At 40.0% G+C, this 17,595-nt stretch overlaps 2 annotated features.

Moving 5' to 3' along the window:
- Positions 7,059–7,559: an enhancer, noted in NCBI's record as "H3K4me1 hESC enhancer chr9:82853205-82853705 (GRCh37/hg19 assembly coordinates)". NCBI's record gives its function as "activates a minimal SCP1, AML or CMV promoter by ChIP-STARR-seq in naive H9 embryonic stem cells {active_cell/tissue: H9 hESC(naive)}" and the evidence as "EXISTENCE:reporter gene assay evidence [ECO:0000049][PMID:30033119]".
- Positions 7,560–8,060: an enhancer, noted in NCBI's record as "H3K4me1 hESC enhancer chr9:82852704-82853204 (GRCh37/hg19 assembly coordinates)". NCBI's record gives its function as "activates a minimal SCP1, AML or CMV promoter by ChIP-STARR-seq in naive H9 embryonic stem cells {active_cell/tissue: H9 hESC(naive)}" and the evidence as "EXISTENCE:reporter gene assay evidence [ECO:0000049][PMID:30033119]".

Raw genomic sequence — 17,595 nt, 5'->3', positions numbered from 1 at the left:
GAACATAGGGCAGAAGCTTCACAACATTAGATTCTACTGTGATCCCTTGGATATGATGCCAAAGGCACAGGCAATTAAAAAATATACAAATTAGACTTCATGAAAATTAAGACCTTTTGTGAATCAAAAGATACTACCTACAGAGTGAAAAGGCATGCTACACAATGGGAGAAATTTGCAAACTATGTATCTAACAAAGTATTGATATTCAGAATATATAGAGAATTCCTAGTCAACAATAACAATGACAACATTAAACAGCCCAGTTCAATAATGGGTAAATGACATGAACAGACATTTAACCTAAGAAGGTATACAGATGGCCAAGAAGCATACAGATATTCTTAATATCACCAATTAGTAGGGAAACACAAATCAAAACCACTATGAGATACAACCTCATACCCATCAGAATGGTTGCTCTCAAGGAACAAAAAACAGAAAGTAACAAGTTTGATGAGGATATGGAGAAAATGGTATCCTTGTACCCTGTTGGTGAGAAAATTAAAATGTTATAGCTGCTATAGAAAACAGTATGGTGGAGCCTAAAAAATTAAAAATAGAATTACCACATGATTCAGCAATTCCACTTCTGAGTATATACCCAAAAGATTTGAAAGCAGGGTCTTAGGGTCTGAAAGAGATATGTATACACCCATGTTTTTTTTGTTTTTTGAGACGGAGTTTTGCTTTTGCTGCCCAGGTTGGAGTGCAATGGTGCAATCTCAGCTCACTGCAATGTCCGCCTTCCAGGTTCAAGTGATTCTCCTGCCTCAGGCATGTGCCAACACGCCCGGCTAATTTGTGTATTTTTAGCGGAGACAGGTTTTCACCATGTTGGTCAGGCCGGTGTCGAACTCCTGACCTCCAGTGATCTGCTCACCTCAGCCTGCCAAAGTGCTGGGATTACAGGGGTGAGCCACGGCGCCCAGCCGTGTATACACCCGTGTTTATAGCAACATTAGTTGCAATACCTAAAAAGTGAAAGCAACACGAGTTTCCCTCAACAGATGAATGGATAGTCAAAATGTAATATACACATACAATGGACTAGTATTAAGCCTTAAGAAGAAAGGGAATTCCAACCCATACTACAACTGGAATGAAATTTGAGGATATTATAAGTAAAATAAGCCAGTCAAAAATACAAATACTGATTACACTTATATGGGGATGGGGTACCTAAATAGTCAAAATCATAAGAGACAGGAAGTGGAGTTAACGGTTGCTAGAGGCTAAAAGGAAGAGGGAAATGGGGAGGAAAAAACATGGACTTAGAAACCAACTTCTAAACATGCAGCGTGTAGGGGAGGATGTCAGGCACTCATTTCCTACTGAATGTATTTTCATTTCTAATAGCTGTTCTTATTTACCAAGATCACTTCATATTGATACCCTATTCTACACTGTTCTACTCCCCCATCCTTACTCTCTTTATACAGACCTTCACACTGTTTGTGATGCTAGCTATTCATTTATTAAATAATCAATTGTAGGACTATTAGAATTAAACATAGAGTAAAATAAAAGTGTTGGAATCAGTTGAAGAGTTTAAGTGCCTCTACCACTAAACGCGGAGCATGAATTTAAAGAAACAGACTTGGACTTTGCCCTTGTTTAAGATCTTTCTCAAGTATCTGAGGTAAATCTAAACTCAGAATTAATTTAGCAATGGAAGTCACTGTTCATGTCCCTGCATTTTGTAACATTTTCAGAAGACATGGTGATGTTCCCTGCCCACTACAGAAGCTCAGGGCCCACCGGGCCCACTGTCTGTCTGAAATCTCAAGACTGTATCCAGATGCCAGCTTTCCCAAAGCCCTAGGGGCTTACATTTCAGTTTCTGAAATGCTCCAATTGAGTGTTGCCCATCTCTCTCTCAGCTTGGAACCTGGTCTTCTATCCCTTTCCGTGGTCTGGGCAACTACCTTCTAAATTTAGGCCTCAGTTGTTTTAGCTCTAAAATGATAGATTTGTCCTTAATTCTAAAGTCTTCATCCTCAAGCTCTAAAATTCAGTGGCTCCTTGATGTATTTCTTTTTGTTTATTTGCTTTAATTTTAGAGCTAATTAAAGCCTCAGTTATTCTAAAAGCAGGTTACATTAGATAAGTAAGAAGTGCTTTTTAGTTAGAGTTGCAGAAATAGAAAGTGACTTAGTATGTTTTAAGATTCTAATGATCCATTCTTATGAGAGTGATAGGGGAAGGGCAAGAGTTAATAAAATACTAAATGAATTCTTACAAATTAAATTAGCCAAGCTGGAGCTGATTAGTCAATATTTGAATAAGCTACAGATAGCCATCACAAATTTCCCTTTATTGTTCTAAGTGATCCTAGTGAACTGAGTCCTGTCTTAAGTAACTTCATATTCAATGTTTAAAATAATCTTTAAAAATAGTCACAGTTGCTGAAAGAAGAAATATTGCCAATCAGTCCTAATCGATGTTTTGCTATCAAGTGCATTTGAAATAAATTTATTACTTTGCCTGATCTGTTTAATATTCCAAAGAGGGAAAAATGCACAAGAATTTATGGAGTCTCAGGCTTCCACATTAAAGAGTGCAATAAATTACAATATTATTTGGCCATGAAATTAACAAGCCATGGAAACCACACCATTAGCAAGGTATACAGTGGTAAACAGCAGGCAATGATGATGATAAAAAACAAAATAGGCTCTGGATGTTGGAGTGGGTGCCAATAAAGGAATAATTAAATGCATTCATATGCATCTTAGGCAGGTAAGCTCTTTGAGGACAATTGCTGTGAATTCTACTTTCCTGTCAGGATATCACAGCTCAGCTTCTATGGCTTTTATCCAAAGACCCTGGGAAGGGTTACTGTGGGCAAATTCAGACCCCTCCTCAACGTAAAAGCTTGGCAATGTGCATTCTGAACAGCAGAATATCCATAGACCCTTTTCACACTGATTCCAATCTTCCTATTCATTGCCACCTTGACAATGCAGAGTAAAGTGTAATGGGCTAAAAGAAGCTGAAAGAAACGGAGACATGGAGAGAAGGAAGGAGGTAGGGAGGGAGGAAGGGAAGAAAAAGAAAAATTAGATACGGAGTATTTCAACATTTGTATAAAAAGTAGAACCAAAACTAACCTGAGGTTATCCTAAACTATTAGCACATGCCACAGAAACCTAAATGAAAACAGTAAGCCAAACTAAGATTCTTTATTTTTTAAACTTTACGGCATATACCTATCCATGTTAAATTCATCTATACATTTTTATCCAATAAAAGAGTACTATTTTGAATGTGTCCCCTCCAAAATTCAGATTTTGCTAATGTGATAGTATTAAGAGGCAGGGCCTTTGAGAGATGATTTAGGTCATGAGGGCTCCTCTCTCATTAATGGGATTAGGCCTTTATTAACTGCCTTTCAGCTTTATCTTTATCACCTGTCTTTCAGCTAGTTTTGCTAGTTTTCTAGCTTATTCTTCTTCTCCAGCCAAGGGAGCACACTGCATTCCACTCCTACAGCGGATGTAGCCTCACCAGACAACTGAACCTACCCTCACCTTGATCTTGAACTTTTAGCCTCCAGAACTATGAGAAATACATTTCAGTTCCTTATAAATTATGCAGTCCCGGGTATTATGCTGTAGCAGTACAAGAAAACTAGGAGAGCATTGTTTTGTAAGAGTATCTGGCTCTATCAGAGGGCATTTAAAGGTCAGATGACTCAACTTCAGCAAAAGAATTAGCCCTCAGGTGAGTTACTGCTTCTTTCTGGTTATGACCCTTTAGACTTTCCAGAAGTGTTTTCAAAAACCAAAAACCTAAAATAGTATTAGGACAACTGCCTATAAAAGTTTTATAATATCAAAATTTTTATAAGAAAACATCCTCCTGGATTATCAACACAATGATGCCAACCAGGTCAATGTATGCTGAGAAACTTATACAACAAAAAACACTTTCCCTCTCTTATACTGACAACAACCTTTCTTTTGTAAACCGTGTGCTGCTTTGAAAAGTTAGAAATGGTCATAGTAAGCCAAAAACAGACACAGGTAATGCCAGAGGCTTAGGTTGAAGACAAAGTCAGTCATCCAGGCTAAATTCCTGTTTTAAAAATTTCAATAAGAATGAATCTCAAAAACCACATACTAAGCAAGTGAAGCCAGATGCAAAAGCATACCTAGTAAATTATTCAATTTATATAAATTCTAGAATAGACAAAATTAATGTATAATGTTAGAAAACAGATCACTGGTCGCCTGGTGCAGAAAATAAGGGAATTTTTGCCAAGAGCCGGAAGGGGAACTTTCTAGAGGTTTGGAATGATTCTCTATCTTTATGGTGGTACTGACTACACAAATGTATACACTGACTAAAATTCACTGAACTGTTCACTAAATATATATGTATTTTATTGCATGTAAATGATTCCTCAATAAAGTTTATTAAAGACAAAGCACAACAAATAAAAGGCTCTCAACCCTCAAAGAAAATGTGCTGCTTTCTCCCAGGGCATAAGATTGGAAGGGATTCATTGGTCTTTCCTACTTTAAAATATATCTAGAATTATCTACATCATTTTAAAGTGTCAGGCTTCCCTTTCGGGGAACTCACCTATGTTTCAGTATCTTGATTTATTTCCTGTACCTTCTTCCAACCTAGTGAAGTTTAGGGAAGGAAAATCAGCTCTTCTATCATTACATAATATATTCTTTCCAAAGCTATATAGATATATTTGGATTGCAGTTTGCAAAAGCTACCTCTTTGACACTCACATATCTTAACAAATAAACTATTGTCTCTGTTGGAAGTTGGAAAAATTAACTTGAATAGTTGGGATTTGACATTTTTGTTCTCTGTGATTCTCCCTTCCACAAAGGGAGCAATGACAGGTGTGAAAGTGAGTAGGAATGTGAAACACATAAGTTTTTAAAATTTTTACTTGAAGTTCCAGGATACATGTGCAGAACGTGCAGGATTGTTACATAGGTTAATGGGTACCTTGGTGGTTTGCTGCACCTATCAACCTGTCACCTAGGCATTAAACCCTGCATGCACCAGCCATTTTCCCTGATGCTCCCCCTCCCCTCGCCCCCACCAACAGGCCCCAGTGTGTGTTGTTCCCCTCCCTGTGTCCATGTGTTCTCATTGTTCAGCTCCCAATTATGAATAAGACCATGCAGTGTTTGGTTTTCTGTTCCTGTGTTAGTTTGCTGATAATGATGGCTTCCAGCTTCATCCATGTCCCTGCAAAGAATATGGACTCATTCCTTTTTGTGGCTGCATAGTATTCCACGATGTATATGTGCCACATTTTCTTTATCCAGTCTATCATTGATGGGCATTTGGGTTGCTTCCAGTTCTTTGCTATTGTGAATAGTGCTGCAAGAAATATATGTGTGCATGTGTCTTTATAGTAGAATGATTTATAATCCTTTGGGTATATAGCCAGTAATGGGATTGCTGGGTCAAATGGGATTTTTGGTTCTAGATCCTTGAGAATTGCCACACTGTCTTCCATAATGGTTGAACTAATTTACACTCCCACCAACAATGTAAAATCATTCCTCTTTATTCACATCCTCTCCAACATCTGTTTCCTGACTTTTTAATTATTGCCATTCTAACTGGCATGAGATGGTATCTCACTGTGGTTTTGATTTGCATTTCTCTAATGACCAGTGATGATGAGCCTTTTTTTCAAGTTTGTTGGCTGCATAAATGTCTTCTTTTGAGAAGTGTCTGTTCATATCCTTCACCCACTTTTTAATGGGGTTGTTTTTTTCTTGTAAATTTAAGTTCCTTCTAGATTCTGGATATTAGACCTTTGTCAGATGGATAAACTCCAAAAATTTTCTCCCATTCTGTAGGTTGTCTGTTCACTCTGATGATAGTTTCTTTTTCTGTACAGAAGCTCTTTAGTTTAATTAGATCCCATTTATCAATTTTGGCTTTTGTTGCCATTGTTTTTGGTGTTTTACTCTTGAAGTCTTCACCCATGCCTATGCCCTGGATGGTATTGCCCAGGCTTTCTTCTAGGGTTTTTATAATTTTAGATTTTAAGTCTTGAATCCATCTTGAGTGAATTTTTGCATAAGATATAAGGAAGGGGTCCAGTTTCAGTTTTCTACATATGGCTAGCCAGTTTTCCCAACACCATTTATTAAATAGGAAATCCTTTCCCCATCACTTGTTTTTGTCAGGTTTGTCAAAGATCAGATAGTTGTAGATATGCGGTATTATTTCTGAGGCCTGTGTTCTGTTCCATTGGTCTATATATCTGTTTTGGTACCAGTACCATGCTGTTTTGATCACTGTAGACTTGTAGTATATTTTGAAGTCAGGTAGTGAGATGCCTCCAGTTTTGTTCTTTTTGCTTCAGATTGTCTTGGCTGTACGGGCTCTCTTTTGGTTCCATATGAAATTTAAAGTAGTTTTTTCTAATTCTGTGAAGAAAGTCAATGATAGATTGATGGGAATAGCATTGAATCTATAAATTACTTTGGGCAGTATGGCCATTTTCACAATATTGATTCTTCCTATCCATGAGCATGGAATGTTTTTCCATTTGTTTGTGTCCCCTCTTATTTCCTTGAACAGTGGTTTGTAGTTCTCCTTGAAGAGGTCCTTCACATCCCTTGTATGCTGTATTCCTAGGTATTTTATTCTCTTTGTAGCAATTGTGAATGGTAGTTCACTCATGATTTGGCTCTCTGTTTGTCTGTTATTCGTGTATAGGAATGCTTGTGATTTTTGCACCTCGATTTTGTATCCTGAGACTTTGCTGAAGTTGCTTATTAGCTTAAGGGGTTTTGGGGCTGAGACAATGGGGTTTTCTAAATATACAATCATGTCATCTGCAAACAGGGACACTTTGACTTCCTCTCTTCCTTTTTGAATACCCTTTATTTCTTTCATTTGCCCTTTTCATCCGGTTCACTCCTGCCCCTGGAGATGTCTCCGGAGGAGGCTGGAGAACAGCCCAGATGGGTGCTTGCCCCTTCCTCTGGGATCTCTGACTTCGAGGGGACAGCAACCTAATGCCAATAGGAAAGCTCCTGTATAGGGTGTCTGGCATCCCCTGTTGGTGTGGGGAGGGGGGGTCTTACTCTGTTGGTGGGCATAGGAACCAGGACCCATTTAATAAAGCGCTTTGGTTTTCCCTTGATGGAGGGAGTGTGCCATGCTGGGGGAAACCCACTCATCTGGGCTGCCTGGATTCCTCAGAGTTAGCAGGAAGAAAGACTGAGTCTGATGGTCTATGGAGACTATGGCCACCACTCCCCCTAGGCATTCAGGCTCAGAGAGATCAGAGTTCTCTCCCTGAGCCCCCTGGCTGGAGTTGCTGGAATTCCTGCAAGGGGTCCAGCCCAGTGAGGAGGGATGGGTCAGGGTGCAGCCTGAAGAGGCAATCTGGCTGCAGTCAGCCACAGCCAGAGTGTTGTGCTATAGGGAATACCTTCTGGGACCAAGCAGTCCAGCCTCCCTGGCTCCAGCAGGAGAAAAGTGTGGCCTACAGCTATGTCTTATGTAGCTTAGTGTCTTAAGTAGGTTGCAGCCTCAGTTTTGGCTGCTCCCCCTCCCCCAGAGAGCTCAGACAGCTTATACAGCTGGCAGCACCAGTGGTGGTGGCCACCACTCCCTCGGGGAGCTCTTTTGTCTTAGGCAATGGAGGCAGTGGCTGCCACTCCTCCCTCAAGGAGCTCAGATGGTTTAGACAGCAGGCAGCAGCAGTGGTGATGGCTGCCCCTCCCCCTGAGAACTCAGTAGGCTTAGGCAGATTCCAGCAGAGAGGCTGTTGAGAATCTGCGTAGGTCCGTAGTTGGGACCCAAGGCCCCAGTGGCATGGGTTCATCTGTGGGATCTTCTGATCCATGGGTTGCACAGTTCCATGGAAGAAGCACGGTTTTCCAGGCTGGGTAGCATGCTCACTTACCGCCTCCCTTGTCTGGAGGTATGGGCTCCCCTGCCCTGTGTGGCTTACAGGTGGGCTGACCCACCATCCTGCTCCTCTCCGTAAGTCACACCAGCCACCTAATCAGTTCTGATGACAGAACCTGGTTATCTTGGTTGCTGGTGCAGGATTCACACACTGTTTTGGTTCTTTTCGGTGAGAGCCTCCAATCACACTGCATCTAAGTTGGCCATCTTGGCCCCACTCTCCAAATACATTTTTAAAAAATTACCTTGCTGCATTTATATTACAGAGATGACACAATATGGTTAAAACTTATGTACATCTCTCTTAACTAACCATCTATCATGGGACCTGCAATATAATCTTCATGAAGACCAGGATCTTTGACTTTTGGTTTTATTCATTTTAGTTTTTATTGATGAATCCCCAAAGCCTAGAAGAGTGACTGGCAATAGAAAATGACCACTACTTGTTTGTTGAATGACTAAATGAATGATAAATTCTGGCTGACAGTGTGCATCTCAAGCTGTCATTAAACCAGCAGTTTCTACAACAGAGTATGGGAGGGAGTTATCAAGATATTTGTAGTAAAGGGTTATCACGATACATCCTTTCCTTGAAATAATCCAACTTCAAATGGATTGTTATCCCAAACTTTATGGTTCTTTCCAATATAAAAACCATTAGTTTCAGAAGATTGCAGTACACATTACATCATGGATATGATTTTTTATTTTTTATTTTTTTATTTTTGAGACAGAGCCTCACTTTGTTGCCCATGCTGCAGTGCAGTGGTGCAATCTAAGCTCACTGCAACCTCTGCCTTCTGGGTTCAAACTATTCTCCTGCCTCAGCCTCCTGAGTAGCTGGAATTACAGGTGCCCACCACCATGCCCAGCTATTTTTGTATTTTTAGTAGAGATGGGGTTTCACCATGTTGGCCAGGCTGGTCTCAAACTCCTAACCTCATGATTTGCCCACCTCAGCCTCCCAAAGTGCTGGGATTACAGGCCTGAGCCACCGACAGATATGATTCTTGATGATCTTTTAAACACTATACCAGTTTATTCTTTCCTCATGCCTCTTTGCCTTAACTTAAACCTGGCTTTTCACTAATAACATATTCCCTTCTCACTCACTAAGTTGTGGGTCTCTTCAACTCCCCTTCACTCTGGAAACAAACAATCAACACCTTCCTGCTCTGTAATGATACTTCCAGGTCATTGTATTTTTATTGTCCTGAGGAATGACAAAACAATTGTCATATCAAAGCCATTGTGGCCCTAAAAATTAAGATACAGTGTCTTCGAAACATATACTGGTTTAAAATTACCATAATATGGAAGTAGAGATTCAAAGTCATTTATGACCATCAGTGTGGAAAGCACCTTCCTTCTGGCATATCTAATGCTGTATGCAGTACTCTCTCTCTGGAAGATATTAAGGAAGTGTGGTAATGGATGGTTGCCTTTTGTGGAAAGACATTTTTGGCTTCAAAAGGCTTGAAGTTCATGCATTTTTCTTGAATTAGATTCCCCATTAATTACTTTATCCACAAAGAGGTATCAGCAGAACTGATGTAAGCAATTAAGGAGATGCTACTTAGTGTTTTTTTCTGCTTGTTGACTTTTCCCTGTTTCGTATTCCATTTGGCTGAGACATCAGAAATATGCATGTCTTTCTATTTTTTTAACAGAATAATATATGTGCATGTGAGTGTGTCCACATGATGAACACTTCATTAAGATAAAATATCGTGAATACACTTTTAGGAAGCAGAGTTATCTGAAGTCCTAGAAAATTTTAAAGCACTAATATTCCTGGACAACTTTACATTATCAAATTTGCTCAAAATTTTATTGACATCTAGAAAATTTTCAAATTTTCAACTATGATTATTTGTTAGCTTTAAAATTATATATTATGGTAGGAGTATATTACAATTTCCATTATCCATTGTAATTTTTTCAAGTATTCCTCTCCTTGTTCTCAGAAGGTATTGCGTCATATACTACTAAATAAGCACAGACTATCAACATGAAAGTACTTTATAGTGACAAGAACTACTCTAGCTTATCTCTATCCTAAGACAATGGACTATAAAACCACAGTGTACAACTACAAGTCTTCCAAAGGCACAAAACATTTATCTACCCAAATTCAAAAAGAGCTACATATTCAGAAAATATATCCATAAAATTCATAAATAAACCACACTGTAACCTGCCACACATAACACACTGATTGTAATGTCCTGAGTCTTTCCCACCTTTAGGTAGCAGGAAATCATAACAAAACAGGATTCTTTACCTTTGGGAGTCATACTAACTACCTCATTGCTTCTTTACAGATAACAGGAAATTAACTTGAATATCATGCAAAAAATAATGTTACTGATACAGAATCTTTGGTTTAAAGACAATAACTTCAATAGCAGTGGGAACTTTATCGCTATAGGTTTCAAATAACCCCCATATTTCTCAGTTTTCCTGCTGAATTAGGAAATGCCTTATTGTGTCTGAAGCTATTTTATTTTCAGTAGTTCATTTTAAGTCAAAGCAATAAATACTGAGGAATGTTTTGGCCCTCAAATCCATAATCCATGTTGATTATGCCTGGGTAATCACTGGTACATGGTTGGAATCACAGATTAGCAGCATTCTGGCCAGCATATATATTATAAATTATACAGAATCATTTGTGGGAGGGGGAAGGGGACTGAGAAATTCCTGTGAGGCCTCTGAGATGGCAATATGAAGTCCTAGCATGTAGAATCTTCATCCACAAGATGGGGAATGATGCTAATTGACTTCAGAAATACTTTCCCAGTCCGACATTGAAAATCCATTGTAGGTCACAGCACAAGCAAATAAGATGTGAAACACACATCTATTCATTTGGCCAATCAACAAACATTCACTTTTAAGTCTACTATGTATGAAGTGTGCTGAGCTCTAAGGGTATGATCCTGAACCACGAATGTTCAGTTCTAGTCCTCCCAGACCATATTACCCAGGAAACTGTCTCTGTTGTAAATGACCAAGACTGATAAATTCTAGTCAATGCTATTTTCATAAGCTATCATCAGCAGGTGACCAATACTATACAGGTTGCTTTTTAAACAGGTCTCATACTCTGTCTTGCTTTCAATATTTTTGCTTTCCTTTAGTGGTCAGTTTCTCCCAGTTGATGAGGCTTGCAGAAAACTTGCCTAGTGAACAATTTCCTGTGGCCTCACTCTTTCACCACACTCTCCTTCATGCACTTGAACTAAGACCTTGATTAAAGTCACTTGCTGTAATCCCATTATTTTAAAATACGGCTGCTCCAGCTTTGAGAGATTTCTACTGGACCGATACGGTGGCAAAGCAGCACTGAAGCAGAAGCAGGTAAATTTCAAAATGACAGCTCTAAAAATATCCTCTCTCCTTTTGTTCTCTTTCTTTCCCCTTGCCCTGAACACCTATGCCCTGACGCATTGCCTCTACCCTCCCATGATTACTGCTACAAAAAAGGTTTTCTAAAAGCAGAGAGTATTTACAGCTTCATTTGCTCCTGAGTCTGTGTGAAAAATATTTTTTCCTGATTTGTAATAATTTCACACTCGTGTTAACACAAAAACCACATTACTTCATTTATACTCTCTTCAACTTTATATTTATCATTTCTTTCATCTGGATCAACATTGAAAGAATATTTTAAAGGCAATATTTTTCCCCATTGCCCTTCCAAGTTTCATGTTCATTCCTCCACTCTCATTTCTAACCCCAATTAAGAGATACATCACAAATGTATAAGAAAGTTCTTTGTGCTTTCCCTGTACCAGCCAATTATTCTAATTGTTCTGCCTGTAAAGAAGGGGATGAGAAATCAACACAAAGGCCGATTATGTGATCTGTTCCAAGAGAAAGATCTGAGGATAGTCGATTTGCTAATGAAGCTCAGTGTGTTTTAAGGATTGACAGATACAATCATCTGAAATTTTCTTCCCTTAAATTAGTGTTTTTAACCAGATACACATCTTTCATATTGGATAATATATTCTTTAAGTTCAAGATAGTTGGACAAAAAGAAAAGAAAAAAAAGGCAACCAACACATTTTAAAGTAATAATGCAATATTATAGCTATCACACTTCCTGGAGAATTCAGCCTACTTTATGGGCACAATTTAGCACAAACCCATAAGAAAGCTAACAAAGCTCAAAACCACTTAACAATAGCCTGGAGAGGTAAAGGTCAAAAATGATCATTGCCAGGCCCAAGATACAGCAGACCTACAAAAAAAAGCACAGCACAGGAAAATCTGGAAACTTGTGCTCTAATTACAGTTATTTCAGTAATCATTAGTGTGATCTGAGTGAACTCAATCTGCCCTACTTTTTCAATTATAAAATCCTATATCATCCTCTCAGTAGAATAAAATATAAGATCTGAAAAGTTGCAGATCTCTTTAGGAAGGAAACAAAACAAAAATCATGCTTTCTAACCAAAATTGAATAATTCAAACAGCCAGTAGAATCCTAACAGAAGTTTTCCTTGTACCAAATTACATGAAGCAATTGCTTTTTTGAAAGCTATTTCTGATAATTACTAGACTTTTTATCCCCCCCCAAGATGGCAGATTAGAGGCTTTTAGCAAGACTCAGTCACTTGGAAATAGCAAGATGATGCATAAAGATAAACTCTCTGAGCTTTAATCAAGAAGGAAAATGGAAATCCACTGGAAACCTGACAGACACCCCACATTCTGGGAAGGAGAGTTCAGGCAAACAGCCACCATGATGGCGTCTGGCTGATAAAAGTGAGTGATGCCCTGTTATGTGAGAGGGGCAGAGAGCCTCCCTCTGTGACTCACCTTTCCACTAGGGATCCAAGTAACTTAGGCCAAGAGAGAGCACCTTGTTTCTCCCAAGCCCCAGAACTATCTTGGGGAGAGGCTTGGAGACACTGAGAGGGAAAGACACCAGGAACAGCTGCAGGCATTTTCCCAGACCTGGGACTGAAAGCAGGATGCCAGTTTTAATCCAGGTTCATACAAATCAGCCATACTTTGGCAAACGGCAGGCATTTTTGCCTCAGGCTAGAGATTGGAACACCTGCTGTGGAGCAGCATAGGAGTTTTCACAGCCAGATTGTGGAAAGTGCCTCCCCAGTAAGCACTGGAATTTTGCTCTCCCTTGTCACAGGCCTGGGGTGGGAGGAGAGCTGCTACAGTCATAGTTTATTCTGGGTGACTAGACTTGTGTCAGGGCTTGCTTGGTGACTTGGAACTGGTATGTGTGTGTGTGTGTGTGTGTGTGTGTGTGTGTGTGTGTGTGTATGTGTCATCACTGGGTGCCACAGCCTGCTCCCCTAAGATCATAGTGAAGTGAGGCCCTCTCCACTCCACTCCAAGGCAAAACAGCAGGCATTCAGAGAACAGGCTTGCCTAGACCAGCAGCCTCAGCTGCCCTGCTGCCTGGACATAGATTGTGGGGCAGTGGGGCCCTCTCTGCTCCATGCCCAGACAGATCTCAAGGCATCTGGAGCACTTGTTTGCCTGGTTCAGCAGTCTGAGCCATCCTACCCTTCTTGTGCACAGATTACAATGCAGTGGGGCCCTCTCTGCTTTATAACCAGGCAGATGGCCAGAAGTCCAGAGCAACTGCTTACCTGGTTCAGCAGCCTGAGCTACGGCCATCCTTCCTGTGTAGAGATCCTGATGCAGGGGGGCCTCTTCACTCCACATCCAGGCAGAACTCCATGCATTTGGAGCAACTGCTTGCCCGGACCAGCAGCCTGAGTTTCCTAACCCTTCCTGTGCAGAGATAGTGGTGGATTGAGGCCTTCTCTGCTTGATGCCCAGGCAGATCTCCACGCAGTCAGAGCAGCCACTCACCCAAATCAAAAGCCTAAGCTGTCCCACCCTTCCTGTGCAAAACACGTGATGAAGCAGGGCCTTCTCTGTTCTTCACTCAGGCAGATCTCCAGGCATGCAGAGCACCCACTCACCCAAATCAGCAGCCTGAGCTGCCCCACCCTTGCTGTGCAGACAAAATGGTGATGCTGGGGTTTCCCTGCCCCAAGCCCAGGCATATCTCCAGGCATTTGGAGCACCCAATTGTCTGGATTACAAGCCTGAGCCACCCCACCCTTCCTGTGTAGAGACTGTTGTACAGCAGGGCCCTCTTCACTCCACATCCTGGCAGATCTCCAGGCACCTAGAGTAACCGGTCTCCTGGATTAGAGACCAAGGTGGGACCTTGGAGGTTTTAGGACCAAGGAGGTTTCCCAGCTCCACACCTAGGCAAACTTTTGGGCACTTGGTGGTCACCTACTTGATTCTCCATAGCCACTTGTCTCTGCCATCAGGCAACCTATAGATGGGCTTGCCTGGACTGGTCCTACCCATCTTGGTCCCACCCACCCCAACCACCCTGGGGCTGATCAGGGAGCTCAGAACACTATGCACTCCTTGGTTTAGAACACTGCCTGAGGCAACAGAGAGCTTCTCCACGTAAACAAGGATCAAGTATACCCAGCCACATTGCTTGCCCCCAGCTCTTACCCATATGCACGATCTAGTGGCTTGTAAGTAGAACTACACGGTCCAATATTAAACCTGCCAAATAAAGTGCATAGGGCCATAGGAGCAGAGCTGAAAGACCAGACACAATATTCGCTAAGTCACATCCCTGAGGGAGAGGGGAAAAGGAAAAGAGAAATAAAAGCCCAATAATATTATAAGGAAAAAAACAAAAAATTTTACCTACACAAAAATAATTATAAAAATTTGAAGTGCCAGCATCTCCAGATAAGAAAACAGTCTAAGAATTCTGGCACCATGAAAAATATTAACATAGTGACACCACTTAAGGATTGTACTGCTCTCTATCAATGGTCTCTAACCAAAATGGAAACTCAAGAATGACGGATAAAGAATTCAAAGCATGGATTGCAAGGAAGCTTAAGGAGATCCAAGACGAGGTTGAAAATCAACACAAAGAAACTTCTAAAACAATCCAGGAAGTGAAAGAAGAGATAAAATATCTTTAAAAGGGATCATTCAGAGCTCCTGGAATTGAAGAACTCGCTTTAGTAATTTTAAAATATAACTGAGAGCTTTATTGGGCAAGCACAGTGGCTCACACCTGTAATCCCAGCACTTTGGAAGGCCAAGATGGGTGGATTAGCTGAGATCAGGAGTTTAAGACCAGCCTGGCCAACATGGCAAAACCCCATCTCATGGTGGCGCATTTCTGTAATCCCAGTTACTCAGGAGGCTGAGGAAGAAGAATAGCTTGAACCCAGGAGACAGAGGTTGTAGTGAACTGAGATCATGCCATTGCACTCCAGCCTGGGCAACAGAGTGAGACTCTGTCTCAAGAAAAAGAAAACGGCCGGGCGCGGTGGCTCACGCCTGTAATCCCAGCACTTTGGGAGGCCGAGGCGGGTGGATCATGAGGTCAGGAGATTGAGACCATCCTGGCTAACAAGGTGAAACCCCGTCTCTACTAAAAATACAAAAAATTAGCCGGGCGCGGTGGCGGGCGCCTGTAGTCCCAGCTACTCGGGAGGCTGAGGCAGGAGAATGGCGTGAACCCGGGAAGCGGAGCTTGCAGTGAGCCGAGATTGCGCCACTGCAGTCCGCAGTCCGGCCTGGGCGACAGAGCGAGACTCCGTCTCAAAAAAAAAAAAAAAAAAAAAGAAAAAGAAAAAAAAAACCTGAAAACTTTATGAAAAGACTGGACCAAGTGGAAGAAAGAATTTCAAAGCTTGAAGATCAGTCTTTTGAACTCAATCAGACAAAAATAAAGAAAAAAAAGCACTTAAAAAATGAACAAAGTCTTTGAGAGATATGGGATTATGTAAAGTGATAAAACCTTTGAATTATTGACATTCTTATGAAAGAAGAGAAAAAATAAACAACCTGGAAAATATATTTGAGGACATGAGTCAAGAAAATTTCCTTATCTTGCCAGAGAGGCAGACACCCAGATAGAAGAAATCCAGAGAACACCTGCAAGATTCTATCCAAAATGAATAGCACCAAGATATATAGTTACCAGACTGTCCAAGGTCAATGCTAAAGAACAAATCTTGAAGGCAGCAAAAAAAAAAAAAACAAAAAAAAGGCGATGGGCTGGGGGGTGCAGACTACATAAGATCACAAAGGGATCCCCATCAGCCAAACACCAGACTTTTTCAGTAGAAACCTTAAAAGGCAAAAGAGATTAGGGGCCGATTTTCAGCATTCTTAAAGATAAGAAATTCCAACTAATAATTTCATATTCAACCAAACTAATTTTCATAAGTGAGGAGGAAAAAAAATCTTTTCTAGACAAGCAAGCACTAAATAAAGTTGTTGTCACTAGACCAGCCTTAAAAGAGATCCTTAAAAGAATTCTAAACATATAAATGAAAGAACAATACCTGCTACCACAAAAACACCCACATACCCTATAAAGCAACCATGCAGTAGGAACTACAAAACAACCAGCTAACAATCTCACAATAGGACCAAAAACGCACGTCAATATTAACCTCGAGTGTAAATGATCTAAATGCCCCTACTTCAAAGGCACAGAGTTGCAAGTATGATTTAAAAAAAAAAACAAAAAAAACAAGATCCAACTACCTGCTATATTCAAGAGACCCAACTCACACATAACAGTCATAGGCTCAAAGTAAAGGGTTGGAGAAAGATCTATCACACAAGTGAAAAATAAAGCAGGAGTTTCTATGTTTATATGAGATAAAACGGACTTTAAACCAACAACAGCAAAAAAGTGATAAAGAACAGCATTACATAATGACAAAGTGGTTAATTCAACAACAAGAGTTAACTAGCCTGAATATAGAGGCACCCAACATTGGAGTACCCAGATTCATAAAACAACTACTTCTAGACCTATAAAAGGACTTAGATAGCTACACAATAATAGTGGGAGACTTCAACACCCCACCAACAGCATTAGACAGATTATTGAGGTAGAAAACTATCAAAAAATTATAAATTTCACCCTGCACCAACTGGACCTAATAGACATCTATAGAACACTCCACCCATCAACCACAGAAGATACATTCTTCTTATCTGCACATGAAACATACTCCAAGATCAACAACATGCTCAATAATAAAGCAAGTATCAATAAATTTTTAAAAAATGAAATTATATCAACCATACTCTCACACCACAGTGGAATAAAAATAGTAATCAATACCAAAAAGTAGAAACCACATAATTACATGGAAATTAAACAACTTGCTCCTGAATGATTTCTAAGTAAACAACAAAATTAAGGCTGAAATTTAAAGGATTCTTAGAAATAAATGAAAACAAAGATACTACATACCAAAATCTCTGGGATGCAGTGTAAGCAGTGCTAACAGTAAAGTTTATAGTGCTAAACACCTATTTCAAAAAGTTAGATCTCATATTAGCAATCTAACATCGCACCTAGATGAACAAAAACAAACTAACCCCAAAGCTAGTATAGAAGAAAATAAGTAACTAAAATTAGAGCAGAACTGAATAAAATAAAGACCCAAAAATTAATTTTGAAAAAACAACAAAACCAAAATTTGGTCCCTTGAAAAGATAAATAGGATCAATAGACCACAATCTAGACTAATTAAATAAAAAGAAGGTCCAAATAAGTATAATAAAAAATGACAAAGGTGACATTACAACCAATCCCATAGAAATAAAAAAGAA

Source organism: Homo sapiens, chromosome 9 (genome assembly GCF_000001405.40).
Source record: "Homo sapiens chromosome 9, GRCh38.p14 Primary Assembly".
In the NCBI taxonomy this organism is placed as follows: domain Eukaryota; kingdom Metazoa; phylum Chordata; class Mammalia; order Primates; family Hominidae; genus Homo; species Homo sapiens.
This window is presented reverse-complemented; position numbering and strand designations above follow the sequence as displayed.